The 26,401-nt window shown below is 46.5% G+C and overlaps 1 protein-coding gene across 4 annotated transcripts; it reads left to right on the top strand.

Moving 5' to 3' along the window:
- Nucleotides 1–5,382: 5,382 nt before the first annotated feature.
- PGLYRP3 (peptidoglycan recognition protein 3) lies at nucleotides 5,383–21,219 on the top strand. 4 transcript variants are annotated; one of them, XR_921736.2, is made up of 9 exons: nucleotides 5,383–5,692; nucleotides 7,629–7,724; nucleotides 9,717–9,824; nucleotides 11,068–11,269; nucleotides 13,270–13,388; nucleotides 14,326–14,478; nucleotides 15,728–15,926; nucleotides 18,598–18,695; nucleotides 19,104–19,190. XR_921736.2 is itself a non-coding variant. In XM_011509118.2 (9 exons), exons 2-9 carry the CDS (start codon nucleotides 7,670–7,672, stop codon nucleotides 20,377–20,379), a joined length of 1,134 nt encoding a protein of 377 aa, XP_011507420.1. In that variant the 5' UTR covers nucleotides 5,383–5,692; nucleotides 7,629–7,669; the 3' UTR covers nucleotides 20,380–21,219. The 4 variants fall into 4 exon arrangements, 3 of the variants coding, with proteins under 3 accessions (XP_011507420.1, NP_443123.1, XP_011507422.1); XM_011509118.2 differs by lacking the exon at nucleotides 18,598–18,695 and adding an exon at nucleotides 20,201–21,219 and having other exon boundaries at nucleotides 19,104–19,222; XM_011509120.3 differs by lacking the exons at nucleotides 5,383–5,692; nucleotides 18,598–18,695 and adding exons at nucleotides 9,300–9,454; nucleotides 20,201–21,219 and having other exon boundaries at nucleotides 7,673–7,724; nucleotides 19,104–19,222.

The following is a 26,401-nucleotide window of genomic DNA, read 5'->3' as shown; positions in this document are numbered from 1 at the left end:
TCAACTAACGTGCAAAACAACAAGCTAGCATCATAATGACAGGATCAAATTCACACATAACAATATTAACCTTAAATGTAAATGGGCTAAATGCCCCAATTAAAAGACACAGACTAGGAAATTGGATAAAGAGTCAAGACCCATCAATGTGCTATATTCAGGAGAACGATCTCACATGCAAAGACACACATAGGCTCAAAATAAAGGGACGGAGGAAGATCTACTAAGCAAATGGAAAGCAAAAAAGAAGCAGGAGTTGCAATCCTCATCTCTGATAAAACAGACTTTAAATGAACAAAGATCAAAAGAGACAAAGAAGGCCATTACATAATGGTAAAGGGATCAATTCAACAAGAAGAGCTAACTATACTAAATATCTGTGCACCCAATACAGGAGCACCCAGATTCATAAAGCAAGTCCTTAGAGACCTACAAAGAGACTTAGACTCCCACACAATAATAATGGGAGACTTTAACACCCCACTGTCAATATTAGACAGATCATTGAGACAGAAAATTAACAAGGATATCCAGGAATTGAACTCAGCTCTGCACCAAGTGGACCTAATAGGCATCTACAGAGCTCTCCACCCCAAATGTTGCAACAGAATATACATTCTTCTCAGCATCACAATGCACTTATTCTAAAATTGACCACATAATTGGAAGGAAAACACTCTTCAGCAAATGCAAAAGAACAGAAATCACAACAAACTGTCTCTCAGACCACAGTGCAATCAAACTAGAACTCAGGATTAAAAAACTCACTCAAAACCACACAACTACATGCAAACCGAACAACCTGCTCCTGAATGACTACTGGGTCAACAACGAAATGAAGGCAGAAATAAAGATGTTCTTTGAAACCAATGAGAACAAAGACACAATGTACCAGAATGTCTGGGACACATTTAAAGCAGTGTGCAGAGGGAAATTTATAGCACTAAATGACCACAAGAGAAAGCAGGAAAGATCTAAAATCGACACCCTAACATCATAATTAAAAGAACTAGAGAAGCAAGAGCAAACACATTTAAAAGCTAGCAGAAGACAAGAATAACTAAGATCAGAGCAGAACTGAAGGAGATAGGGACACAAAAAACCCTTCAAAAAATCAATGAATCCAGGAACTGGTTTTTTGAAAAGATCAACAAAATTGATAGACTGCTAGCAAGACAAAGAAGAAAAGAGAGAAGAATCAAATAGGTGCACTAAAAAATAATAAAGGGGATATCCCCACCGATCCCACAGAAATACAAACTACCATCAGAGAATACTACAAACACCTCTACGCAAATAAATTAGAAAATCTAGAAGAAATGGATAAATTCCTGGACACATACACCCTCCCAAGACTAAACCAGGAAAAAATTGAATCTCTGAATAGACCAATAACAGGTTCTGAAATTGAGGCAATAATTAATAGCCTACCAACCAAAAAAAGTCCAGAACCAGACAGATTCACAGCCAAATTCTACCAGAGGTACAAAGAGGAGCTGGTACCATTCCTTCTGAAACTATTCCAATCAATAGAAAAAGAGGGAATCCTCCATAACTCATTCTATGAGGCCAGCACCATCCTGACATCAATGTCTGGCAGAGACACAACAAAAAAGAGAATTTTAGGCCAATGTCTTTGATGAACATCAATGCGAAAATCCTCAATGAAATACTGGCAAGCCGAATCCAGCAGCACATCAAAAAGCTTATCCACCACAACGAAGTCGGCTTCATCCCTGGGATGCCAGGCTGGTTCAACATATGCAAATCAATAAATGTAATCCATCACGTAAACAGAACCAATGACAAAAACCACATGATTATCTCAATAGACGCAGAAAAGGCCTTCGACAAAATTCAACAGCCCTTCATGCTAAAAACTCTCAATAAACTAGGTATTGATGGAACGTATCTCAAAATAATAAGAGCTGCTTATGACAAGCCCACAGCCAATATCATACTGAATGGGCAAAAGCTGGAAGCATTCCCCTTGAAAACCAGCACAAGACAAGGATGCCCTCTCTCACCACTCCTATTCTACATAGTACTGGAAGTTCTGGCCAGGGCAATCATGCAAGAGAAAGAAATAAAGTGTACTCAATTAGGAAAAGAGGAAGTCAAATTGTCCCTGTTTGCAGATGACATGATTGTACATTTAGAAAACCCCTTGTCTCAGCCCAAAATCTCCTTAAGCTGATAAGCAACTTCAGCAAAGTCTCAGGATACAAAATCAATGTGAAAAAATCACAAGCATTCCTATACACCAATAAAAGACAGAGAGCCAAATCATGAGTGAACTCCCATTCACTATTGCTACAAAGGGAATAAAATACCTAGGAATCCAACTTATAAGGGATGTGAAGGACCTCTTCAAGGAGAACTACAAACCACTGCTCAATGAAATAAAAGAGGACACAAACAAATGGAAGAACATTCCATGCTCATGGATAGAAGGAATCAATATCATGAAAATGGCCATACTGCCCAAAGTAATTTATAGATTCAATGCTATCAAGCTACCACTGACTTTCTTCACAGAATTGGAGAAAACTACTTTAAAGTTCATGTGGAACCAAAAAAGAGCCCTCATAGCCAAGACAATCCTAAGCAAAATGAACAAAGCCGGAGGCATCATGCTACCTGACTTCAAACTATACTACAAGGCTACAGTAACCAAAACAGCATGGTACTTGTACCAAAACAGAGATATAGACCAATGGAACAGAACAGAGCCTTCAGAAATAACACCACACATCTACAACCATCTGATTTTTGACAAACCTGACAAAAACAAGAAATGGGGAAAGGATTCCCTATTTAATAAGTGGTGCTGGGAAAACTGGCTAGCCATATAGAAAGCTGAAACTGGATCCCTTCCTTACACCTTATACAAAAATTAAATCAGATGGATTAAAGACTTAAATGTAAGACCTAAAACCATAAAAACTCCAGAGGAAAACCTAGGCAATACCATTCAGGACATAGGCATGGGCAAATACTTTATGACTAAAATACCAAAAGCAATGGCAACAAAAGCCAAAATCGACAAATGGGATCTAATTAAACTAAAGAGCTTCTGCACAGCAAAATAAACTATCAGCAGAGTGAACAGGCAACCTACAGAATGGGAGAAAATTTTTACAATCTATCCATCTGACAAAGGGCTAATATCCAGAATCTACAAAGAACTTAAACAAATTTACAAGAAAAAACAAACAACCCCATCATAAAGTGGGCAAAGGATATGAACAGACACTTCTCAAAAGAAGACATTTATGCAGCCAAAAGACACATGAAAAAATCTTCATCATCACTGGTCATTAGAGAAATGCAAATCAAAACTACAATTAGATACCATCTCACGCCAATTAGAATAGTGATCATTAAAAAGTCAGGAAACAACAGATGCTGGAGAGGATGTGGAGAAATAGGAACACTTTTACACTGTTGGTGGGAGTGTAAATTAGTTCAACCATTGTGGAAGACAGTGTGGCAATTCCTCAAGGATCTAGAACTAGAAATACCATTTGACTGAGCCATCACATTACTGGGTATATACCCAAAGGATTATAAATCATGCTGCTATAAAGACACATGCACACATATGTTTATTGCAGCACTATTCACAATAGCAAAGACTTGGAACCAACCCAAATGTCCATCAATAATAGACTGGATAAAGAAAATGTGGCACATATACACCAAGGAATACTATGCAGCCATAAAAAAGGAAGAGTTCATGTCCTTTGTGGGGACATGGATGAAGGTCCATCCATCATTCATCCAATGATGGATGAAGGAAGCCATCATTCTCAGCAAACTATCACAAGGACAGAAAACCAAACACTGCATGTTCTCACTCATAAGTGGGAGTTGAACAATGAGAACACATGGACACAGGGAGGAGAACATCACATATTGGGGCCTGTCAGGGGGTTGGGGGCTGGGGGAGGGATAGCATTAGGAGAAATACCTAATATAATGACGAGTTGATGGGTGCAGCAAACCAACATGGCACATGTATACCTATGTAACAAACCCGCATGTTGTGCACATGTAACCCAGAACTTAAAATATAACTAAAAAAAATTATATGTGAGTGACTTCGAGTTCCTAATTATTGTGATTAAAAATTCAAAGTGCTATTTTGTTTAATAATTCAATTTACATAATTTATACAAAGTAGCTGTTTATCCTAATTGCTTTCATTAGCATTAACATATTAGCTATAACTTTTACCTGTGGAAGGAACACTTTCTCTAATTTTAATGAAAATACCATTTGGGTAACAGTGGTCTTGCTTCAGACTTTCTGACAGCTAATCCCTTGGTGTCCTTCGATCTCCAGTTGGGGACTGCAGGATCCTACCCATTTTCCTTTCCTTTTGTGGGCTGTCACTGCCCCCTTTATCACTTGGGTTTCTTCTCTTCCATGTCTGGTCTTAGAGTGAGACAGTCTCTCAGTTCTCCCTAACTTGCTGTTCTAAAGATGAGCTTATAAACCATTTTCATTTTAAGGACTTAATCATGATTGCAAAAGATCCAAAATCATAAATAAAAATTTCAGACTCATAGTGTCTGTCATTGTCACCAACTATAATTCCCGGTCCCCTTCCTAGATGTCTGTCTCTGAGGTCCTCACCCAAGATTCCCCACCCTATGGAAAATGGAGGTCACTCAGCATGTCTCCCTCAGATGCTGGCAGCCATGTGAGGCTGTGGGGTCTAGGAGAGGTCTCCTCAGCTTTTGTCCCTGAAGTGTGGTTTGGGCTGATCAGAGTATAGAACAGAGTGGGTATCCAAGTATCTTCTAAAGGGTGCATGGTACTTTCCAAGACCTCTCGCCTGAGCATTCCCCATCCAGGGGGCTGCAGCTCAGGTACCCTTGGCTGAGCCTGACTGTAAAGTCTTATGCATCAACCTCTTCAGAGAAGAGACAGGGATTCTTGGAGACCAGAGTTGAGGATTGAGGGCCACTGTCAGGAATGCGTGAGGAGGGGAGAGCCTTGGTTTGTTTCAAGGGAAGAGTTTGAAGTTGAGATGAAGTGGTGGATGAATGGGCATGATAGCTACAGGGTCAGAATAAGTTCTAGTGATGACACATTGCTAGCTGCCTCCTGGGAATGTGCTTTTCAATTTCTGTCCCTTCCTCCTGCCCCTGCTGGTGACTCCAGTGGAACCTGGAACAGATAGATCTTCATTGGTAGGAAGTTCCCAGATGTCAGGGACAGGACCCCCGGGACCCCAGTCTACAAGACATAAGGGCTGGGGATGAGGAAGGAACTCAGGGAGTGTTGGGCAATCACACCCTTTCCCAGGGAGGAGCTACCTGGGCTTATTCACAGGGCGGGTCCCCAGGTGCTCTCAGCCTGGGTCTGTTCCCACTTAAGTTTCTCTGGGTGCTGTAAACAGAGCTGGCTTGGAGCCTCAGCCCTCTGCCTTTCTCTTCTCTTCCATCTTTTGTTAGGGATCCTGGGCTCTCCTCTTCTCTCTGGGAAGCCAGAGCCCAAGTGCTCCATTCCCAGGGAGGGAGTGCCCTCTAGGGCCAGGGGGAGTGAAGGCCTGAGGAGGCACCAGCTGGAGAAGAAGGGCAGGTCCTGGAGGCCAAGTCTGGAAGGGAAGGAGCTGCTGGCCAATCAGGGGCGAGCCGACTGCACCCTGACCTGCTGGGCTGGAACAGCACAGAACCCACAGGTATCTGTGAGTTTGAGTGTGTGTGTGTGTGTGTGTGTGTATTTCTTTAGAAGTCTTCATTCAGCAATGGGACGGAAGTCTATAGGGTTAAAATGTGTACATGGTAGGGAAAGCTCCCCTGATCTCGTTTTTTGGAACTCTTTCTCCAAATAAGAAAATTTTCTTCATTCTAAATTCTTCTAAATGAGTTTGGTTTCACCACTGCTGGATCTTTCTTGGCAAGGCTGTGGGTTCTGAGGTTACCTCTACCCAATTTCTTCCTTTTCTGTAGAGCCCTAAATTCTTATCTATTATGTCTCACTTGTCTCCTGGTCTAATGTTTCTTTCAGTATACAGGATGCACAGCAATGTGAGCCAAGGTGGTAAATCCTTGGCTCTAGCTTATCCTACCAGCTTAGTGTTTGCAGTTCATGGTGTGGATTGGAGACATTATCAGTTCTGTCTCTGGCAAGGTCAGGGACTGGGCTGAAGCCTTGATATTTTGGATGTATGATATGACCAGCTTGGGGCAGGATTTGCCATACTGACGTTTCATGGTTGTGGAAGCACAGTGATTAAGTGACCAGGGTGCAAACCAGAATTGATAGTGGCTTCCAGTAGCTTTGCAGGAGGCCAGCTCCTAACAGGCCTTCAATCTTGGGAAAGTGAATCCTTACCTCTCATTTAACTAACGAGGGAGGCTGAACATTTTTCCTTATATTTATTAGGTGCCTGCCTCATTTGTAATTAGCTCATTTTGTCTTCACTGCAGTTTTCCTGAATGAATGGAATCCTGGGTGTTATCTGCTAAGTGGTTGCTTGTCCTGACCCAGGAGGCTTCCACATGTTCTACTCTTAAGACATGGTTTTAAAAATTTTCCATTTGGGGACTGCTGATTGCAGTTTAAAAACCCTGGAGGGCAATGATCTATCCCATTTGGTTTCAAACTCCACTTTATATTTTCTCAGTAGGAAAATTGGGGGGAAAGTTGATGTTTTGGGTGGTAGCTCATACAGCTAAAGTTTCAGTCTGACTGAGTATGAGTAAGCAATTCACTTCTACCTGAAAGAGCAGGAAAGATTCCTGGAGCTGGAAAAGACTATAGTGATCCTATAGTTCAACCTCTTGGGCCCACATTGAGAACGTCCATCAGAAACTCAAACAGGTTGTGAAGTTTCAGGCAGAGGCTCTGGAGTCAGACAGACCTGGGTATGAATCTGGCTCTGACCCTATTATCTGGGAAACTTAGGACAAGTGACTCAAACTCTCTGAGGCCCAGTGTTCTGATGATAAGTGCGGGTCTCATAGGTCATTGTGAGACTACTTAGTGAATATCCATGGAGTCCTCAGCAAAAACCTTGGAACACAGAATGCAGTCAGTAAGTGGTAGCTGTTATTATGATTCTCACTAAAGAAGAGGTTAGTCGAACAACTGTCAGGGATCTTTGCAGAGTAGATGACTGAATTGAATGACTTTACATACCTGGGACTCTCAAATGGTGCAGGGGGCGAAGCCAAGCCTGCTTCTGCTTGTAGTTCACTCCATCTGAGCCTCAATGTTCTTACCTATAAAAATTGAATCAAATATGAAATTGCACCACTAGATATGAAAATAAATACACAGTGTTTTTTCATAACAGCTACCTTGAGGATTTTAGAAATTGTTATTTTCTACCCTGAAAGGCCTAAGATCAGGCACTGCGCTTCTATGAGGAACCAGGAGTTGCCCAGGGCAACAGGAGGTGGGTGGGGAGTCGGTGGCTAGACATAGCCATTAGTGCCCTCACATTTATTGGGAACCTGATGTGTTTAAGGGGCCCCGAGAAGCCTGAGCCAGGTGCTGGCCCTCAGGAAGCCACAGGATGGTAGGGGAGGCAGACAGTGGTGCCACATAGTAGGTGGGTGCTCCACTTGCAGAGTTAGCATGGTTGTGTTAACTGTTAGCCTCTCTTCCAGGGCTGCCGTCCACACTCTCCCGGTCAGAGTCCTGGGACCACATGGGGACGCTGCCATGGCTTCTTGCCTTCTTCATTCTGGGTCTCCAGGCTTGGGGTAAGTTTTATTTACTTGCATCAGAAGTGCTTTTGATGAGCAAGAGAAGACCGTTCTCAAGTTTAATAATAGAAACCCATCCGAGTGCTTTCACTTTGTTAGTGGATAGTGTAGCTTTGCAATTTGGAGCCCTGTTCTAGAGTTTACAGATTTTTTTCAAATCCTTGCCTGTCCTTTGTTATGGTCTTCAACAAGTTATTCAATTTCTTGGAATCTTATTTGCTCCCATGATGAAAGGATAATATTGCTCATTTCTTAGAGTTGTTTTTGAGGATTAAATTAGATCACAAGTGTGCGCCATTTAGCACAATGCCCAAGTAGTTAGTGCTGGGTAATTTGTAGCTATGATTTAATTATTGTCACCATCGTTATTATACCAGTCATAGTTAAACCCAGCACTTGGGTCTACATTTGTAAATAAAAGCAAATTCCCCAAGAGTAGCAATGCCGTTTCTCTAGATTAAGAAGATTTCTTATCGTTATATACATAAGAGTAGACACATAGCAATGTTCATTAAATAAATGCTGTTGAATTAAAATGAAAGTGAGCTTGGTGATTCTTAAATATGACATGTTTTTCAGTTTGTTTTACATACACAGACCCCCTTCGGAAGGAAAAATGTAATATAGCTTTCTCTCTGTCCTCTGCTACTCAGACAGCAAATTTAATGGGATTACCTGGAGTTAGTGTTAGAGAAACTCACAGGCCTTTCATTGTATGAATGGAGAAGCTGAGGCCCTGATGGGGAAATTAACTTGCCCAAGCAAAGCAGGGAGTTTTGTGTGGTCCTCATCCCTGCCTCCTGGTTCCTGCCCTGCCAGGTGTCAGTGTTGGCCTGCGGGCTGCTCTTCCACTCTGAGAGTCCTGTGGGTTTCATTTGTAAAGTGTCCTCTCCGGGCTCCTCCCTCCCCCTCCCCAGTCCTCTGTGTCCCCTTCACAGCCCAGCTTAGGCCCTCTGCCTGCTGAGGTGGGCTCCTGTCCTCAGCAGTCTCTCCAGCACACCTTGGACTTGGGGTCCTGGTCATGTATTTGCTCTTGATTTCACAGAAGGACAGAACCTCAGAATCATGGTGGAGACCCTCAGTGACTTTGTCTTGTAGGAAGAGAAACAGGTCACATTGTGGCAGTGACTAACCCAAGTTCATCTGACAACTTTGGGGAGGCTGCAGAGTACAGTTGTTATGAACAGGGGCTTCGGGGCCAGAGATTCTGATTGGAATCTAAATCTACGCTTAAAACCTCTGTTATGTTAGACAAGTAACCTAACTTCCCTAAGACTTGGTTTCCCTTCTCTATAGACAGCATAGTTGCTTTGCTTAACTCATGAAGTTGTTTTAAGCCACAATTCTGATAGCATCCTTGGATGTGCTTTGTAACCACAGGGCTGGTCTGTGGGAGATGGGGTTGCTAACAATGTCACTGCTGCCATTGGCTACTGCTCCCAGGACCCCTGGTACTGAATGGGAGCAATGGGGGATAAGGACAGGCTGGCAGTGGCTAATCCACAGTAAAACATCTCTAAAACGTCTAGTTTTTGAAGGCGGTCACAATAATCTGTATATTTCTGTTTCAAGAACCTTGTCTGGCACCAATAGGTGATTAAGACATGTGTGTTAGCTCAACATGTCACAACTGTCTTGGTATGGGACACTCTGCTGGGTACCGACGGTTTGATTAGTAGGTCTGCCGGTGAACCAGGAAAGGTGGCACTGCCCAGATAAGGCAGCAGGTGAGACTGCAGTGCTCCTGGAATGGAGGGAGGCTGGGGGAGGTGGGAGGACAAAGGCCTCTCTGGGCAGATGTGGAAGGCAGAGGCAGGCCAAGGCCAGAGACTTCTGTGGTTCTCCTCTGTGTGCTTGCTAGAAGACGTTAGGTGACCTGGGGAGGAGGAGAGGCTGTGCACTGCAGAGTGGGATGTCTGGCCCAGCCTCTGAGCTTGCTGGCCATGTGCACTCCAAGGAGTGCACCAATGCACCAGTGCTCTCTTGCAGGGGATTTTCCACAGTTCTCCTGGAGTGAGACCCAAGCCAGAGGCTTGTCCCAGAGGCTTATGGACCTGTTTGTCAGCATCTCACAGTTCATTCACAAGGGTCGCAATGGTGAGGCGGTTTGGAGATTGGCTGGGGCTTCTTAAGTGGTCAGAAATGTTTCTCAGGACTTGATAATGTCTGGGCTGAAAGTCAAAGGGGTGGGGAGGAATCCCAGGAGGTTTGTCTCCAACCACTCCCATGGATCATCCTGAGTCCTTAGGCAAAGGGGAGTTCCTCAGCCTAAGGAGAGAAAAAGAAGAGAAACTCAAATGAAGAAAGAGAAGGAGGCTGGGCGCGGTGGCTCACGCCTATAATCCCAGCACTTTGGGAGGCCGAGGAGGGTGGATCACGAGGTCACGAGATCGAGACCATTCTGGCTAACACGGTGAAACCCTGTCTCTACTAAAAATACAAAAAATTAGTTTGGCATAGTGGCATGCACCTGTAATTCCAGTTACTCGGGAGGCTGAAGCAAGAGAATTGCTTGAATCCGGGAGGTGGAGGCTGCAGTGAGCCGAGATCGCGCCACTGCACTGCAGCCTGGGTGACAGCGCGAGACTCCATTTCAAAAAAAAAAAAGAGAGAGAGAAGGAGAAAAAACCCAGAGAGAAAAGACATGTCCTCCACTCCCAGCTCCAGCATGACAGTGTCTCCATTGTCCCTCAGAGCGCTCCTGGGGCTCCCATGATGAGAATGGAGAAAGGGAGCCCTCAGGTAGCCTGACGCGGCAGGTGGGATCTCACAGCCCTGCCGCTAGGGAGTGTTCGCCCGGAAGAAAGAGGTGCAGACCCCGTGTTTATGGAGCCTCCTGTGGGCTCTGGAGTCCCTAGTTGAGGAGACTGATAGAGCTTCCTTCAGAGAGTCATGGTTCTTAGGGGAGGGGAAGACAAGAGACACAGTTGAGACCAGGGCAAATGGCAGTGAGGAAAATGCATCCTCAGGCTTCTGGGCTAAGGAGGCAGCTCAGAGCCCCAGGGTGGGCGGCGGGGTTGGCTGGGGTGCTTTCTGAAGGAGGGGAGCATGTAGGCCAGGGGGCAGTAGGGGATGGGATTTGCCCTTCAGGGAAAGACAAGGAGAGATTGTCTGGGAACAAGGCGGCACGACTTCCCAGGCTGAGTGCAGCGTGTGTCTGGGCAGTGGTTCAGCCACAGTGGAGAGAAGGAGGGGGCTTTGGTGGTGAAGGGCTCCCCCAGGGTGTCTCCCATGCATGGGGCAGGTCGGGCCTGAGCATGAGAGGTCAGGGCACATGGTCGACCTGTTGGGGGAAGATGGGCAGGGCCTGCTATGTGCCATTCTGTGGTCTTCCCTACAGATACTCCCACCATCGTCTCCCGCAAGGAGTGGGGGGCAAGACCGCTCGCCTGCAGGGCCCTGCTGACCCTGCCTGTGGCCTACATCATCACAGACCAGCTCCCAGGGATGCAGTGCCAGCAGCAGAGCGTTTGCAGCCAGATGCTGCGGGGGTTGCAGTCCCATTCCGTCTACACCATAGGCTGGTGCGACGTGGCGTACAAGTAAGAGGCTAGCCAAGTCCCTGAGGCCCACATCCAAAGTCACGGGGGTGCTTCCCACTTCCCCTTCTCTGTGGCTCTTATTTTCTGCGCTTCATTTACATTGCTTTTGTAATGAATAGAAATGGTAAAAGGGGAATCAAACAAAATCCGAATCCTTCGGGGATTGTAAGAGGGATGACTCTAAGCCACTTATTTAAGTGGCTTTCGATTCTGGTGCTCCTGTGAAAAAGCAAGGAAGGTTACGTAACAACTGCAGTTTTAACTGAGTCCTTGGAACTCACGAAACGTTACAGTTTACAGAGGTCTTCACAAATATCACCCGATTTGGCCCTCCCAGCTACTCTGAGAAATGGGTTCCTACCCATATTCCTACCCTTATTTCACAGGCGGGAAAGCCATGGTTTGGGGGAATTAAAAGCTCTGCTCAGAGAGAGGAAGCACGTACCCAGAGCTGTGTGAGAGCACCTGCCAGTGTAGCCCTTGCTCCTCCCCACCTCACAGGGACTCGCACCTGGGAAGCAGTGTCCCACTTGTTACCCTGAAAGACCACTCTGACAGCAAGTCCGGGGACCCCACCGGGGAGAGTGGGCTTTGGGAATGGCGGGGAGGAGAGACCCGCAAGAAACAAGGGAGGGCATGAAGGAGCTGTGCACTGTGCATTGAGTTTCTGCTCTGGGGATCATCAGTGGAAGCCCAGAACCTTTTCTCCCTTAGCCTCAAGAATGAGGAGACACATGTAGAAGGAGAGGGAAAGAGAGAGTGGGAATGGGGCTGTCCCGCATGGAACTCTAAAGACAAACATAAATAATTTCTGAATTATCCATTTTGGAAAGGAAAATCTAAGTCTTATTTATTTATTTATTTATTTTTAAACACAAATAAATAAGAGCAGCTGCAGGCCCTGGTTTTGGCCCCCAGCACCCCTGGGATGGCTGGGTCTTCCCTGTCTGCCCATGGGGCATGTCATGTCAACCACGACTCACCTGCTGCCCCTGCCACCAGCACCTCCACCATCCTGCTGTTGTCGCTGCTGTGTTTTCTGGTTTGGTCACTGTATTCCTAAGTTATTTCAGCCTCTGCATCTCTAAGTCAGGTTTCTACAGTGACAACTTGACAATCTCCAGTTTTTGCAATGCAGCTGACAGTAGCTGTAAGGGACTGTTCACACCGTACTAACCACAGGCTGCTGCAGGAGTGACCAAGGAACCTGTGAAAGTACTGGCAGCAAAGCCAGGGAAGGGGTGGACACACCAGGCTCCACACCCATTCCTCATGTCGACATCGGTGTAGGGTGGAAAGTCGGCCTGACTCAGTTCAGTGTCTTTCCTTGACCTAAGGGAGGTGTTCTTTCTGTGTTCAGTTTGCTGCGGAAACTCATGTTCTATTAAAAGATGAATACGGCAAAGTTGTGAAAACATCAATTCTGAAGACTGATTGGAAAGTGGAGGAGAGAAATTATAAAGAGGCAGGAATAAAAGAAGTAGAATAAAAAATTGATTTAAAAAGTAAATGTGAAAAAGGAACATTCTAAACAAATTTCTATGATAAAGAAGAGCTTAAGGAAATTCCTAAAGAGAATCTGAAGAAAAACATCAATACAAAAGGAACTATTGAATCTGGCATAATTATTTTAGAGAATGTTCAAGTGTTTGGTCCTATAATTTAAAAACATGATGTAGTAATTTTTAAGCTCTTGAAAAGCATTGAACTAATGTCCTCAGGTCCTTGAGTGTCATGCAGTCAAATTCCACTTTGAACCAAATGAGTATTTTTGAAGTGAGGTTCTGGAAAACACATGCAAGCTAAATCCCAACAAAAATTAAAATATATTCCCATGTCTCTTGGAGGTCTAAAACTGGTTATTCTGCACCTCCTATTGTTTTGTTATTGGAACATAGTACTTACTTATGAGCCTCCAGAACCCCTTTTCCTTTTGAGGATCAGTGAGAGGTTTTCATTTATGGAGATTTGCAGTAAAATCATTATTTCCTTCTTGTCAGCTTCCTGGTTGGGGATGATGGCAGGGTGTATGAAGGTGTTGGCTGGAACATCCAAGGCTTGCACACCCAGGGCTACAACAACATTTCCCTGGGCATCGCCTTCTTTGGCAATAAGATAGGTAAGGGTCACTCCCTGCGGACCCTGTGCTGGAGAGTTGTGTACACTCTCTTCCTCCACTCCCAAGGGTCAACACTCATCTTTTTACCCTACATCATACTTACCTTCTCTGATGATCACCCTTCTCTTGAAATTCTTTTCTCCTTTGGATCCTGTGACATGCATACTTTTTGTCCTCTGCCTCTCTTTACTGGTCTGTACTCCTGTGATATTGCTGAAGCTTGCATGGGCGTTGCTTGAGCTCACGGTTATTGCTGTCACTTCTAAAGTCTGAGGTTGTCTGACATAGATGCTGTGACTGCCAGAGGCAGAGAAGCATGGCTCATCTCTTATTCCAGTTCCACTGGTAGAAAGTGACCAGAAGGCAGCAGGCAAGGAAATCTGGAGGTATAATTTGCAGGCTTCTAGCCCCTAGAAAAATAGAGAAAAGCACAGAACAGGGATGGAGCTGAGAAATAATACATATGGAACCAGCACCTGCCAGCATCCTCATTTGACAGCTGGGGCTAGGTAACAGCATTTCTCTCAGAGGTTTTCTGTGAGAGTTATGAGTTAACAGATATAAAAAGCCTACTGCACACCTGATCAGGGGAGCTATGAGTAAATTCTGGTTGCCTTTTCTCCTGTGCTAGTGCACACCTGACTTGGTCAGGTGGGCCTCCCTTTGCATGTATCCTTCACTGCCTTCCAGCTCTTCTGCCTAGAGATGGAGTGGATAAAGTCTTAGCTTGGCTCTTGGAAGAAGTTTTCAACCTTGGCTGCTAAGAGATCTAGGTAGCTTCTCGCCTCTTAGGCACTCTGTTCTGGCAACTGGACCAGTTTCCTCTCTTCCAATCCAGTTATTCAGGCTCAAGTGGTCATATCATCCTTTCTGCAGGTGTCTGGTCTAGGTGGAGTTTCTTACTGACATTTTTGTGCTCCCTGTCCTCCTCTTTAAGGCAGCAGTCCCAGCCCTGCTGCCTTATCAGCTGCAGAGGGTCTGATCTCCTATGCCATCCAGAAGGGTCACCTGTCGCCCAGGTATATTCAGCCACTTCTTCTGAAAGAAGAGACCTGCCTGGACCCTCAACATCCAGTGATGCCCAGGAAGGGTAAGACCCTCCATGTCACCTCACCCTCCTCCTCGTCACCACCTAGCCATGTTTGGAGTCATGTTTGGGAGTGCTTTTTCCTGTTAGACCCCATGGGATTCTGGGACTAAGAACATCTCATGCCTACTTTGAGATCTGGAAAATTCTGAGAGGGCATCTTCCTGGCCTCCTCTCCATCCCATCAGAATGAGATAGCCATAGACTTCTTCTTAAAACAAATACATATGTACACAGATTTTCAGTCAGTCAACAAATATTTACTGCATAGCAGGCACTGTTCTAAGTACTGAGCATACAGCTGTGAACAAAACAGATGAAACTCTTCACCTTCAGGAAGCTTGCACTTCAGTGAGAAGAGACAGAAAATGAACAAAATAACAAAGAAATGTATATGATGTTAGACGGCATAAAAGCTATGGAGAAAAATAGAGTGGGAATGGAGTGGGATTAACATGTATACATAGTTGTGTCTATTATGTGGGGACACGAAGGACATACATAAGCTTACATACCTTTCTAAATGCAAAAACCAGCCATGGCCACAGCACAGCCACAGCTCGGAGAAAAGCTTGTGCTCACAGATGATGCTGACATCAGAGTGCATATAACAAAAAGCTGAGTAATAAAAATAATGCACTATTTTGAAGTGAATAAGCAGCAACCTAAAACCAGTCAAATTAATAAGCACTCCTGCTAGTGGACCTTTTCTTGGGATCAATGATATTTTTAGAATTAGCTTTTTAAAACTGTAAATCTCAAATAAAATGTTTCTTGCTTTTGGACAGGCACTATCTTCAATAATGATAATTTCTTAATATTTGTACAGTTCTCTCTAGATTTCAAGTTGTTTCCAAATATGTGTGATCAGTTCGGAGAGTCCACTGACTTCCGCGTAGTAGCCCTGTTACATAAGCGCACATACCTGCATATATATTTGCAATGCATGGTCTTTTGAAGACAATGACCATGCCTCTGTATAACCCACAGCCCTTTCCCTTCTGCTTATACGCTGATTTCTATTGGTATCAGGCCTGTAGATTTTTGCCTCAGCCCCTTGGCTCCAGCCATCTGAATCAGAAACCTCCCAACTGGACTTCCCCAGAATCCCAAAGCTGATATTACATTAGGATGTGCCCGTGGGTGCTGGAGGCCTGGGAGAGGCTGAGGAATAATCCAGCCTGGAGTTGAGTGATTGCTCACAGAGAGGCAAAAAAAATTCCTACTTCCTTGGCTTTTCATTTTACCACAGTTTGCCCCAACATCATCAAACGATCTGCTTGGGAAGCCAGAGAGACACACTGCCCTAAAATGAACCTCCCAGCCAAATATGTCATCATCATCCACACCGCTGGCACAAGCTGCACTGTATCCACAGACTGCCAGACTGTCGTCCGAAACATACAGTCCTTTCACATGGACACACGGAACTTTTGTGACATTGGATATCAGTAAGTGGGATCAATGCCAAAAGAACCCTCTTTTTCTTCAGGATTGTAGGAAGGAAGGCTGTGGGAGGGAACTGATGTTTCCTGAGCCTCTCCTTTGGGCTGGGTGGTTTCCATAAGGCATCATATTTTATTTTTGCAAGATTGGGCTGAGGATCATTCAGAGCATAGCTAATGGTCAGTTACCTCGCTTGGACGTATCTCCACAAGTGGTTGGGAAGATTCTGAAAAGAAGGCATTAGAAGCCTAGTGATAAAGCAAGACTGTGATACCCTCAGGGAAGGCCATGAAGGGTTGTACCTTTTTAATGCAATCCCTTCTAACCTGTCAGAGACAAAGGCCTTGCTCACTCCTATCTCAGTCTGCCCAGCTCCAAACTTGCTCTCTCCGATGTTAGAATCCTGCTATTCCTCTGGTGTTACTTACCTCATTTTATAGATGTAGGAACTTTTAACCTCTCTGGGCCTCTTTTGTCTCATCTCTACAATAGGGACAATGCTTTATCTGTTTGAAGACAGGGAGCAAGATCAAAACATTTTCTTTTGGTACCTTTAATGCCAGGTCTGTAATAAAGAAACACATTAAACTAATGGAGTAGAAGAAGCTGCTTGGAAGATGTCTTGGAATTTTCAAAGGAAGGATTTAGGGCTAGAGTATAATGTATTTCAATTATTCATCTGTGACTTAATCACAACAAATCTTACAAAGTCTCAGGTAGATGTGCTTTTGCACATGTGTTGTTCTGGGCCTACTATCTCTCCTTTTAACTCCTGTTTTAAAAGCAGCCTTTGCAAACAGGAGGGAACTCTTGCTTCACTTTGCAGGATTTTCCATAGGCTTTCTATGGTTATTTAGCACAGGTAACAAGAAATTGACTAAAAATCTGGAAATTCCACATGGAAAATGCCAGAAGGTGAGGGAATGTTTGTTTTCCTCTTTCACTCAGTCTTTAGAGACTCCATCCCCGTTCCTTGACTTTTCAAAACCTGTTGCAATATCCTTCTGCTCCAGCCTCATGATATGTCACCTGTAACCCTGATATGGACTGTAATCAGGACAAAGCACCCACTCACACATTATTTTCTAGTTTTTTAATCAATAGTTATTGGATAGCTACTATATGCCTGGTGCTAGACGAGATATATCAATCTAACAACAAACAGAGAGAGATTCTCCAAAGATGATTAATTTGGCCAGGCACGGTGGCTCATGCCTATAATCTCAGCATTTTAGGAGGCCGAGGCGGAAGGATTGCTTGAGGTCAGGAGTTTGAGATCAGCCTGGGCAACATAGGGAGACCCCATCTCTTCAAAAAAATAAAATAATTAGCTGGGTGTGGTGACATGTATACCTGTAGTCAGTCCCAACTACTTGGAAGGCTGAAACGGAGGATCGCTTGAGCCTAGTAGTTTGAGGCTGCAGTGAGTCATGGTTGTGCCACTGCCCTTCAGCCTGAGCAACAGAGTGAGACCCTGTCTGAAAAAGACAAAAACAAAAGCAAGAGAATAAAGATAAGTATTTTATTTGAGAGTGTAAAGGGAATTTGCAAATCTGGGATATGCATGCTACAGGAACCACAGGCATATCCAAAGAGGTTCAGGCTAGGGGAAGCTTTTAAAGGCAAAAGGCAAAAGTTTGTTTTGAAATAAAGGGAACACTGGAGAACATTGGAACTTATCGCGGGAGGTGACACCAGTTCATTAGTGGAGACAGTGTGCTGGGCAAGTGTTCTTCATCAGCCAGATGTCCTTGTGACTAGTAACAAGCTGCAGTTTTGAAAGTTTTTGGCAAAAGTTCTTGTTACAGGCTTGTGTGCGTAAGAGTCCTTCAGAGAGTCTTTGTGCTAGTTCTTATTGTAGGCTTGTGTGCATGAGGGTCCACCCTTTTCAACCTCCTGGCTTTATTTATTTTTGTTAGAGTTTGACACAAGTGACTCCATTTTGATTCTGACAACTTTCACTGATAGATATGAGAGAAGGAGGGCTAACAAGTAACTACAAGTCAAAGTGTTTGAGCACTGTGATGGATGCAGAACAGGATAATGTATATGATGAGTCTCTAATCAAGGCTTTGTGGGGGGTGATTGGGGTCTGAGAATGGCTTCTAGAGGGAGGAGTATCCTCATTGGGACATGGATAAGCAGTGGGGTTTATTCAGGCAAAGAAGGAGGAAGAGTGTCTGGGTGAGGAGGAACAGTATTTGCCAGGGCCCGGGGTTCAGACAGAGCATTACAAATAGATTTGAAAGAGAGGAGTGGTGAGTAGTAAGGGTGGGAAAGCCTGGGAGGGGCCACATCACGGAGGGCCTCATAGCAGACTCAGAGAGACTGACTCAATTTGAAAGGCAGCTGCAGACTATTTGGGAGGTCATGCTCTATGATAGGATTTGTATTTTAGAAAAATCACTCTGGGTGCTACTTTAAGAATGGGTTGGAAGGAGGCAAAACTCTGGGCAGGAAGCTATTGCAGTGATCCAGTGACTTGCAGTGGGATCGTGGCAGTTGGTCTAGAAAGAAGTGGAGGAATTTAGAAGCTGTGTAGGAGATACAATTGACAAGCCATGATTGGTGACCAGGTGGGCTGAGTGAGGGGGTAGAAGGCATTCAGGGTGTTGTCCAATTTTCTAGCTGGATAAATTTTAGAAGAAGGTGGGTTTGCTTGGACTGTTTTTACAGGTAGTACTTGAAGCTGTGGCAATGATTGTCCAGGGTGAATACGTTGAGTGAGAGAATGGCCTAGACTAGAGTGCGGAGGAGCACCATGTTTGAGGAAGGTAAGGTGGGGTGGGAGAGGGGCCTGAGGGAGCAGCAGGAGGAGGAGAACAAGGAGGGTTGTGGTTGTGGAAGCCCGGGGAAGGGAACATTTTAAGAGAGTGGTCAACAGGGTCAGTGTAGTCTAGAAGTAAAGTAAGTGTCCATTGTACTTAGTGCCAGGAAGCCACTGCTCACCTTGGAGGGGTCAGATTTAGTGGTGTGATGGGAACAAAGGCCAGGTTGAAGTGGACTGTGGTATTTTTTTGTTTTGTTTTGTTTTCTGTCCTTGTCCACATTGGCACATAAGAGATCTCCAGTCAATATTGGATGAATGGATGAAAGAATGAATGAGTGGTTGAAGGAGTGAATGAAGTATTTAAATTCTGTTTCCCAGAGTGACTGTCTTCATTTTCTTTTCCTGACCTAAGCTTCCTGGTGGGCCAGGATGGTGGCGTGTATGAAGGGGTTGGATGGCACATCCAAGGCTCTCACACTTATGGATTCAACGATATTGCCCTAGGAATTGCCTTCATCGGCTACTTTGTAGGTAAGGGGTGAGCATGGGGTAGAGGGGTGCTGGGGGTTGAAGGACCATGCAGCATGTCTGGGAAGCATGGCGGGAAAGGCAGCCCTGTAGTGCCTGGCAGTGTGAATGGAACATTTTAGCTTTAAAGTGGACTCTTAATACAGGATGTCACCAGGATCCCCTTTCAGACAGAGCATTTACCCCCAAATCCACCCATCCCCATGCCCAGCTCCACCTTGCTTTATATCCAAGGCAAACATGGAGCAAGGGGGGAAACGTCTTTTGCAAACTTCAGTGCTTTTATCGCTCAGTTGGCAAATGTGTCCCCTTTCTTGTTAGCCATGGCAACAATTTGGGGAGCACCACTGCCTGTTATGGAAAACCAGTGGGCGGCCCAGTGGTGCTGTATCTGCTTTATACCTGCTCAGAAGTGGTGTGTTGTGCTGCAGTTCTCCTCCAGAACAGTTTTTTATATTTATTTATTTATTTTTGAGATGGAGTCTCGCTCTGTCTCCCAGTCTGGAGTGCAGCGGCGTGATGTCGGCTCACTGCAAGCTCCACTTCCCGGGTTCACGCCATTCTCCTGCCTCAGCCTCTCGAGTAGCTGGGACTACAGGCGCCCGGCTAATTTTTTTGTATTTTTAGTAGAGATGGGGTTTCACCATGTTAGCCAGGGTGATCTCGATCTCTTAATCTCGTGATCCGCCTGCTTGGCCTCCCAAAGTGCTGGGATTACAGGCGTGAGCTACTGCACCTGGCCCCCTCCACAGCAGTTTTTAACCTTCTGGAAGAAACTTTGGCACGGAGGAATCAGAGAAAGCAATGACCTTGTTTTCTTTTTGTGCCTGATTGCCACAATTTACGTAAATGTGTTGGCTATGGTGATGGCGGAATGGGGCGTGGTGGAGGAAGAAAGAAACTGGAATCTAGGTGCTTGTCCCTTCCCTAATCAAGAAACTTTGAGCCCCTAATGACTGATGGGGAAAATGTGTTTTGCAGAAAAGCCTCCAAATGCTGCAGCGCTGGAGGCGGCCCAGGACCTGATCCAGTGTGCCGTGGTTGAGGGGTACCTGACTCCAAACTACCTGCTGATGGGCCACAGTGACGTGGTCAACATCCTGTCCCCTGGGCAGGCTTTGTATAACATCATCAGCACCTGGCCTCATTTCAAGCACTGAAGGAGGCCCCACTCCCTTTGAGACTGCCCTCCCTCCCCTGCTGGGTCTCTCCAACCCTCACCAGCCAAGGTGGCTCAGCACCTTGTGTCCCCCTCCCCTGCCAGCCCATCCTTTCTCAGGTTTGAATGGTCATGTCCTTTCCTGCCAACATCCTCCAGGAGCCCCCAAACCTCACAGCTGGGCATTCACAGCCCTCTTGGTCTGAGTTTAGACTTCCCCTCTCTTTTACCTACCTCTCCCCTGGGCACTTACCTCCTCAGTCAGGCGAGACAATGGGCTGGTCCTTGTGGCATTTCTCTCTCTCTCCCCCCAACCCCTGTCTCCTCTTCTTTCTTTCTTTGCTTCCTTTCTCTTTCTTTCTTTCTTTCTTTCTTCTTTCTTTCTTTCTTTCTTTTTCTTTCTTTCCTTCCTTCCTTCCTTCCTTCCTTCCTTCCTTCCTTCCTTCCTTCCTTCCTTTCACCTTCTTTCTTGCTTTCTCACTCTCTCTCTCTCTCTCTCTCTCTCCCCCTCTCCCCGCCTCTGCCTGGTGAGCCTTCCCTGTTTTCTGCCTGGAAGCCCCCACCCTTCATCCCTCACCCATGACCTAGGTCAGTGTGCCCACCCCCCCTCTCTGCTCACACATGGACTGGTACATATTTGGATGCAGCCCTTACTTAAGGGCTGTAATTATTTATAGATATGATTTATAGATATGTCTGTCCTCTCCTCTGGGTTGTAAGTTTCTCCAAGGGAGGAATTCTATTTTATTCATCTCTATCCTCAGTTCCTCAGCAGTGTTTGGAGTTTAATAGGTTCTACAGATGTTTGTTAAAGAAATGGATGAATAAATGAATGAGTGGACCCAGGTCCCTGTTCACCTTGCCAGTTTGCTTCGGAACTTCCCCTCTGAGGCAGCCTTCCTGGATAGTGTCCCCATCCCACCAGCAGCATTCTCTCTGTTCCTGTTCCCTCCCAGTCCAAGGCTCAGAGCTGGCTCTGGTCGTCTGTCTGTAATGGTGGCTGTATTGTTAGGGTCTCGCGTCCATGTCCCCCAAGAGCACCCTGAAGGCAGGGAGCATGTGCTTCTCTGGGTCAGGCCAGGGCTGTGTCCACACAAGCTGCCCAGTGCCTGCCACTTGCCCTTGCCTGGCTGGGTCCCACTGGGTGTTGGGCTGAGAGAGAGCCCAGAGCCCTGGTGCTCTGTAGCCCTCCCTACCTGGGCTCCTCTTGCCCAGAGGGAAGCTCCTTTTCTTCAGATGGGGGCATGATGACGTACTGCTGTTTACCGGAAGCACGTGAGCTGGCTCTTGTTTTCACGGGTTTTGATCTGGAAACAAGGGAAGGTGTTGACAAAGAGTCAAACTGTGTAAAATATTTGAAGAGATTTATTCTAAGCCAAATATTAGTGACCACGGCCTGTGGCACAGCCCCAGCAGATCCTGAGAACATGTACCCAACGTGGTCAGGCTACAGTTTGGTTTTATATATTTTAGGGAGACATGAGACATCAATCGATACATGTAAGATGTATATTGGTTTCGCTGGAAAGGTGGGACAACTCCAAGCAGGAGGTGGGTGGGTGGCGGGGGGGGCGTCCAAGTCATAAGTGAATTCAAAGATTTTCTGATTGGCAATTGGTTGAAAGAGTTATTATCTAAAGACCTCCAACCAATAGAAAGGAATGTCTGGGTTAAGATGGGGATTGTGGAGACCACGGTTTATCATGCACATGAAACCTCCAGGTAGCAGGCTGCGGAGCTCTTATCAGACCTAAAAGGAGCCAGACTCTTAGTCAATTCTCTCCTGGATCAGGGAAAAGACCTGGAGAGGGAAGGGAATTCTCTACAGAATGGGAATTTTCCCCACAAGAGACAGCTTTACAGGGCCATTTCAAAATATGTCAAATAAATATAGTTTGGGGTAAAATACTTCAATTTCTTTCAGGATCTGCTAACTGTCATGTTGATATCTTATAGCAACAGTCTGTTTGGTCAGTCTTAAGATCTCTGTTTTAAGGTTAATGCTGGTCAGTTGTGCCTGAATCCCTAAGGGAGAAGGGTATAATGAGCCATGTCTGACCCCACTTCCCAACATGGCCTGAACTAGATTTTCAGGTTTCCTTTGGAATACCCTTGGCCAAGATGGAGGTTCGTCAGTCAGTTGTGGGGATTAGAGCTTTATTTTTGGTTTAAAGAGGGAAGGAGGAAGAAGGGGTGCCAGAAACATGGGCTTTCTTCCCCCTGTACATGTTTTGAGTACTGATGCTGTGTCTTTGCTTCCAGTGTTTCACGTCTCTTACAAAGCAGGCTTTAACGGCCTAATCTGTATACAGCTCTGTGCTTTCAAAACGGTCCCTCCGATCTCATTAGATTGATTCTGTCCATTTGTCATTTGCCCTATGGCATCCTGGTTATGTAAGCAGGGGAAGAGTGGTTTGTCTAGAGGGTCACATAAGCCCAGGGAGACTCAGAACTCTTGCTCCATTTATACAATCAGAGGAAGGTGGCTCCAGTAGAACTCCTGTAGTGAAAGGTCTTCCTCCTGCAGTAAGAAGTGACACTCCTGCTAGCCCCCTTCTGGTGGAGGGGTGGGGTGTGGGCACAGGCTTCCCAGAGGAACCTTCCCCAGCAGGGGTGAGTTTAACATCCCCTCATGCAGGAAGTAGCCAGAGGGGTAGACTGAGATGCTGAGAAATGGTTTCATGAAAAAGGTATCCTTATAATTCTTGGCCTTCCTTATAATCCTCCAAAATAGAGGGTCTCCTCTTTTTGATTTAAACACCATTCCCAGGCCTTAGGGACTCATTGACCTCCCTCCCCAACCTCCATCCCTTATGAACTTTAGAAGAGACTGTAGACTCCCCAACTCCATCAGCACTCATGAAGGCCTCAAAACAACAATATTGGCTGGGCGCGGTGGCTCATGCCTGCAATGCCAGCACTGTGGGAAGCCAAGGCGGGTGGATCACCTGAAGTTAGGAATTCAAGACCAGCCTGACCAACAAGGTGAAACTCCGTCTCTACTAAAAAAACAAAAATTAGCCAGGTGTGGTGGCAGGTGCTTGTAGTCCCAGCTACTCGTGGGGCTGAGACAGGAGAATTGCTTGAACCCGGGAGGTGGAGGTTGCAGTGAACCGAGATAGCGCCACTGCACTCCAGCCTGGGCGGCAGAGCAAGACTCTGTCTCAAGAAAAAATACTGCATGGTCTGGATTATTGTTTTTCCCAAATTATCTACTTTTATTGATCTTAAACATACTAAGTAAAATCAGAGCACTCAACCGGCAAATGCCCCTTCCTTCCTTCCTTCCTTCCTGTTTTCTTGAGACACAGTCTTGCTCTGTTGCCCAGGCTGTAGTGCAGTGGCACTATCTCGGCTCACTGCAACCTCCACCTCCTGGGTTCAAGCAATTCTCCTGTCTCAGCCTCCTGAGTAGCTGGGACTATAGGCGCCTGCCACCACGCCTGGCTAATTTTTGTATTTCTAGTAGAGACGAGGTTTCACTATGTTGGCCAGGATGGTCTTGATCTCTTGACCTTGTGATCCACCTGCCTCGGCCTCCCAAAGTGCTGGGGTTACAGCGTGAGCCACTGTGCCCAGCCAGCAAACGCTCTTCCAAGGCAAATTCAAGGCAGCTTATTCCAGGCAGTTTGCTTCTCCTGTGTTCTTTTATAGAGAAATTCTTCCCAGCTTCCCCTTAATCATTTAGAGTGAGGGGCAATACTAACACCCCCCTCAGAGGATTATCGCCAGGGTTAAATGAATGATCAGGTGTAAGGGTCTGAGAACTCGTGCTCAGCATTGAAGAACCATTCCACTGGCATCGGGTGAGGCGTGTGATTGTTGCTGTCTGTTACTCCTGTTTGACTGTGGCAGGAAGGATGTGCCTTCGTGGGCATCAACCGCAGCTGCCTGGGGAAAATTGGTGCAGATTGTGCCCAGACCTGGTGATGAGCAGGGAGGAGCCAGGCAGGCCTGCAAGTGGGTGGGGCAGGTTTGAAGCAGCCCACGGTGAAGGAGGGGGCACAGCCCCTTCATGGCCCCCGGCATTGTCAGGGTGGGAAGGGCCCAGAGCTCATCGACTCAGTGGTTGTCCATGATTATAAGCTGGGAAAAAAAGACTCCAAAGTTTTCTTTGGTTCCAGCATAGTGAATATCAATCTGGTTAAAGCCTCCTGTTTCACGGAACACTGAACCGGAAGGAGGTAGATGACCTGTTCAAGTCGCCCCATGAGTTAAGTAGAGGAAGGAGCACCCAGGTTCTGAGGTTGAGGCACGGCATGATTCCTATCACCCCTCTGCTAAAATCATGGTATGGCCTCTCCTTCCCCACTGAGTCAACTAACAACACACGAGTATGTCGGTTAGGGCCTCCATAATCTCTTTCCCACAGAACAAGCCCGTGCGGGTCACTTGCAGTCTCACACGCTGGGCTTTCACATGTTCCTGCCTTTGCCTGCACAACTTCCCCTCTCTTGACCTCTCCAATCCCACTTTTTTTTTTTTAGCTGCTTTTCAAAGGCTTGCTCTTCCAGAACCTGCTTCTCCAAACTAGAAATGGCGTCTCCCACCGCAAGCGCCCATGGACTCGGCCCCGGCCTCGTAGTGCCTCTTTGCTGCCCGCGTGCCTTCTCCCTGCCGGCTTGGACTCCCCGAGGGCTGCACCTGCTCCCCTCGCTCCGTCTCCTGGGCCAGTACAGGGCCTGGCACACTGCTGGGGCCACCTAAGCGTCTGTAGGAGGAAAGCCAGGATGGGTTGGGCAGAGGCAGTGTCTCCCTCAGCTGGTCTCAGACGCTTACCGCAGAGCGGAAAATCCCAGTGTCTCCACTGTTGAGCCTCCGCAGATTTCTCACAGGGAACTCCCTCTTAATGCCAGGCCATCCTTCCCCCTTACCCTCTGGCGGCTTCCCCTCTGCTGGTGAGATCTGGGGGAGACATCCTATCTTCTCCAGCACCAATGCCCTCCAACCCCGCCCCTGTGGAGGCTCCTGTGACCCCTCACTGTGGTGGATGCAGCCTCTGGGGCTGTGGGTGGTGGGTGTGGTGGGGTGTGGTGCGCGGGAAACGCAACTGCAGCTGCTCCCCTGGCGGTGGCTTTCTTCCGACTGGCTGACTTAGGAAAACCTTTCTTCCTGAGCTTCCTGCCACCCTTCCCCATGCTTCCTGGGCTCTTCCTCTTCACGTTGTGGGCTTTTTTCTTTCCAACATTGTGTCTTGTGTGTGTCTGTGCCTCCCTCCCCTCCCTCTCGGCCTCTTCTTTTCTCTCACGCTGCCTCCCTGCCTGTTTCTTCATGCTCCTCATTTTCTGTCTGTCTGCCCTTCTGCTCCTGTTCGTGCCTGTCTTTATTCTTTCTCTTCTCTTTCACCAACATCTAGAATATGGCAGTGTGAAAGGATTAGTGGGGGAAGTGGGTCTGAGTCTCAGTACAGTAGACACCCACAAATTATCTCCTCGCTGCGCCCTGAAAATCATCTCCACACCCTGCCCCAGGGCTGCGGGGGTGCTGGGAGTGGGAGGAGAGGGTCAGAAGGCCAGGGGCAGGGTGGCTCTGGGGAAGGTATGCATTTGGGAGCCAGACTGAGCACACCCAGTGTGTTTCTGGCCCAGCAGGTTCCGTCAGGCGGGGCGTTAATTAGAGCCTGGCCCTGCAAGAGGGGAAGGTGTTATTAGGTCGAAGGACTGGTGGGCAGGGGTGGAGCTCCCAGGACGTGTGACAGGGACCTCTTGGGAACTTTCCATGGTAGGCTGGAGTAAGAAGTGTCACCCCATGGGTGGGGAGCTGGGGCTCCCTCTCAGAGTGGCTGAGAGCCCTCTGGTACCCAAAAGTTAAGCAGCTGCCTGCCTGGGAGGGGAGCTGGGGAGTTTCCTCCTCTCTCTCCAGTGCTCAGCTCATGTGCCACTTCATCTAAGAGCCTAGCTCTTGAGGTCCCCAAATTAGGATTTCCCTCTACTATGTTCACTTATAATTACTTATTTATGTGTTTTTCTCTCTCTGTCTGTATACATGTTTTAATCATCTGAATTTCCCACTAGATTATAAGC

Source organism: Homo sapiens, chromosome 1 (genome assembly GCF_000001405.40).
Source record: "Homo sapiens chromosome 1, GRCh38.p14 Primary Assembly".
NCBI classification, from domain to species: domain Eukaryota; kingdom Metazoa; phylum Chordata; class Mammalia; order Primates; family Hominidae; genus Homo; species Homo sapiens.
Note: the sequence above shows the minus strand (reverse complement) of the source record. Positions and strands in the feature narration are given on the sequence as shown.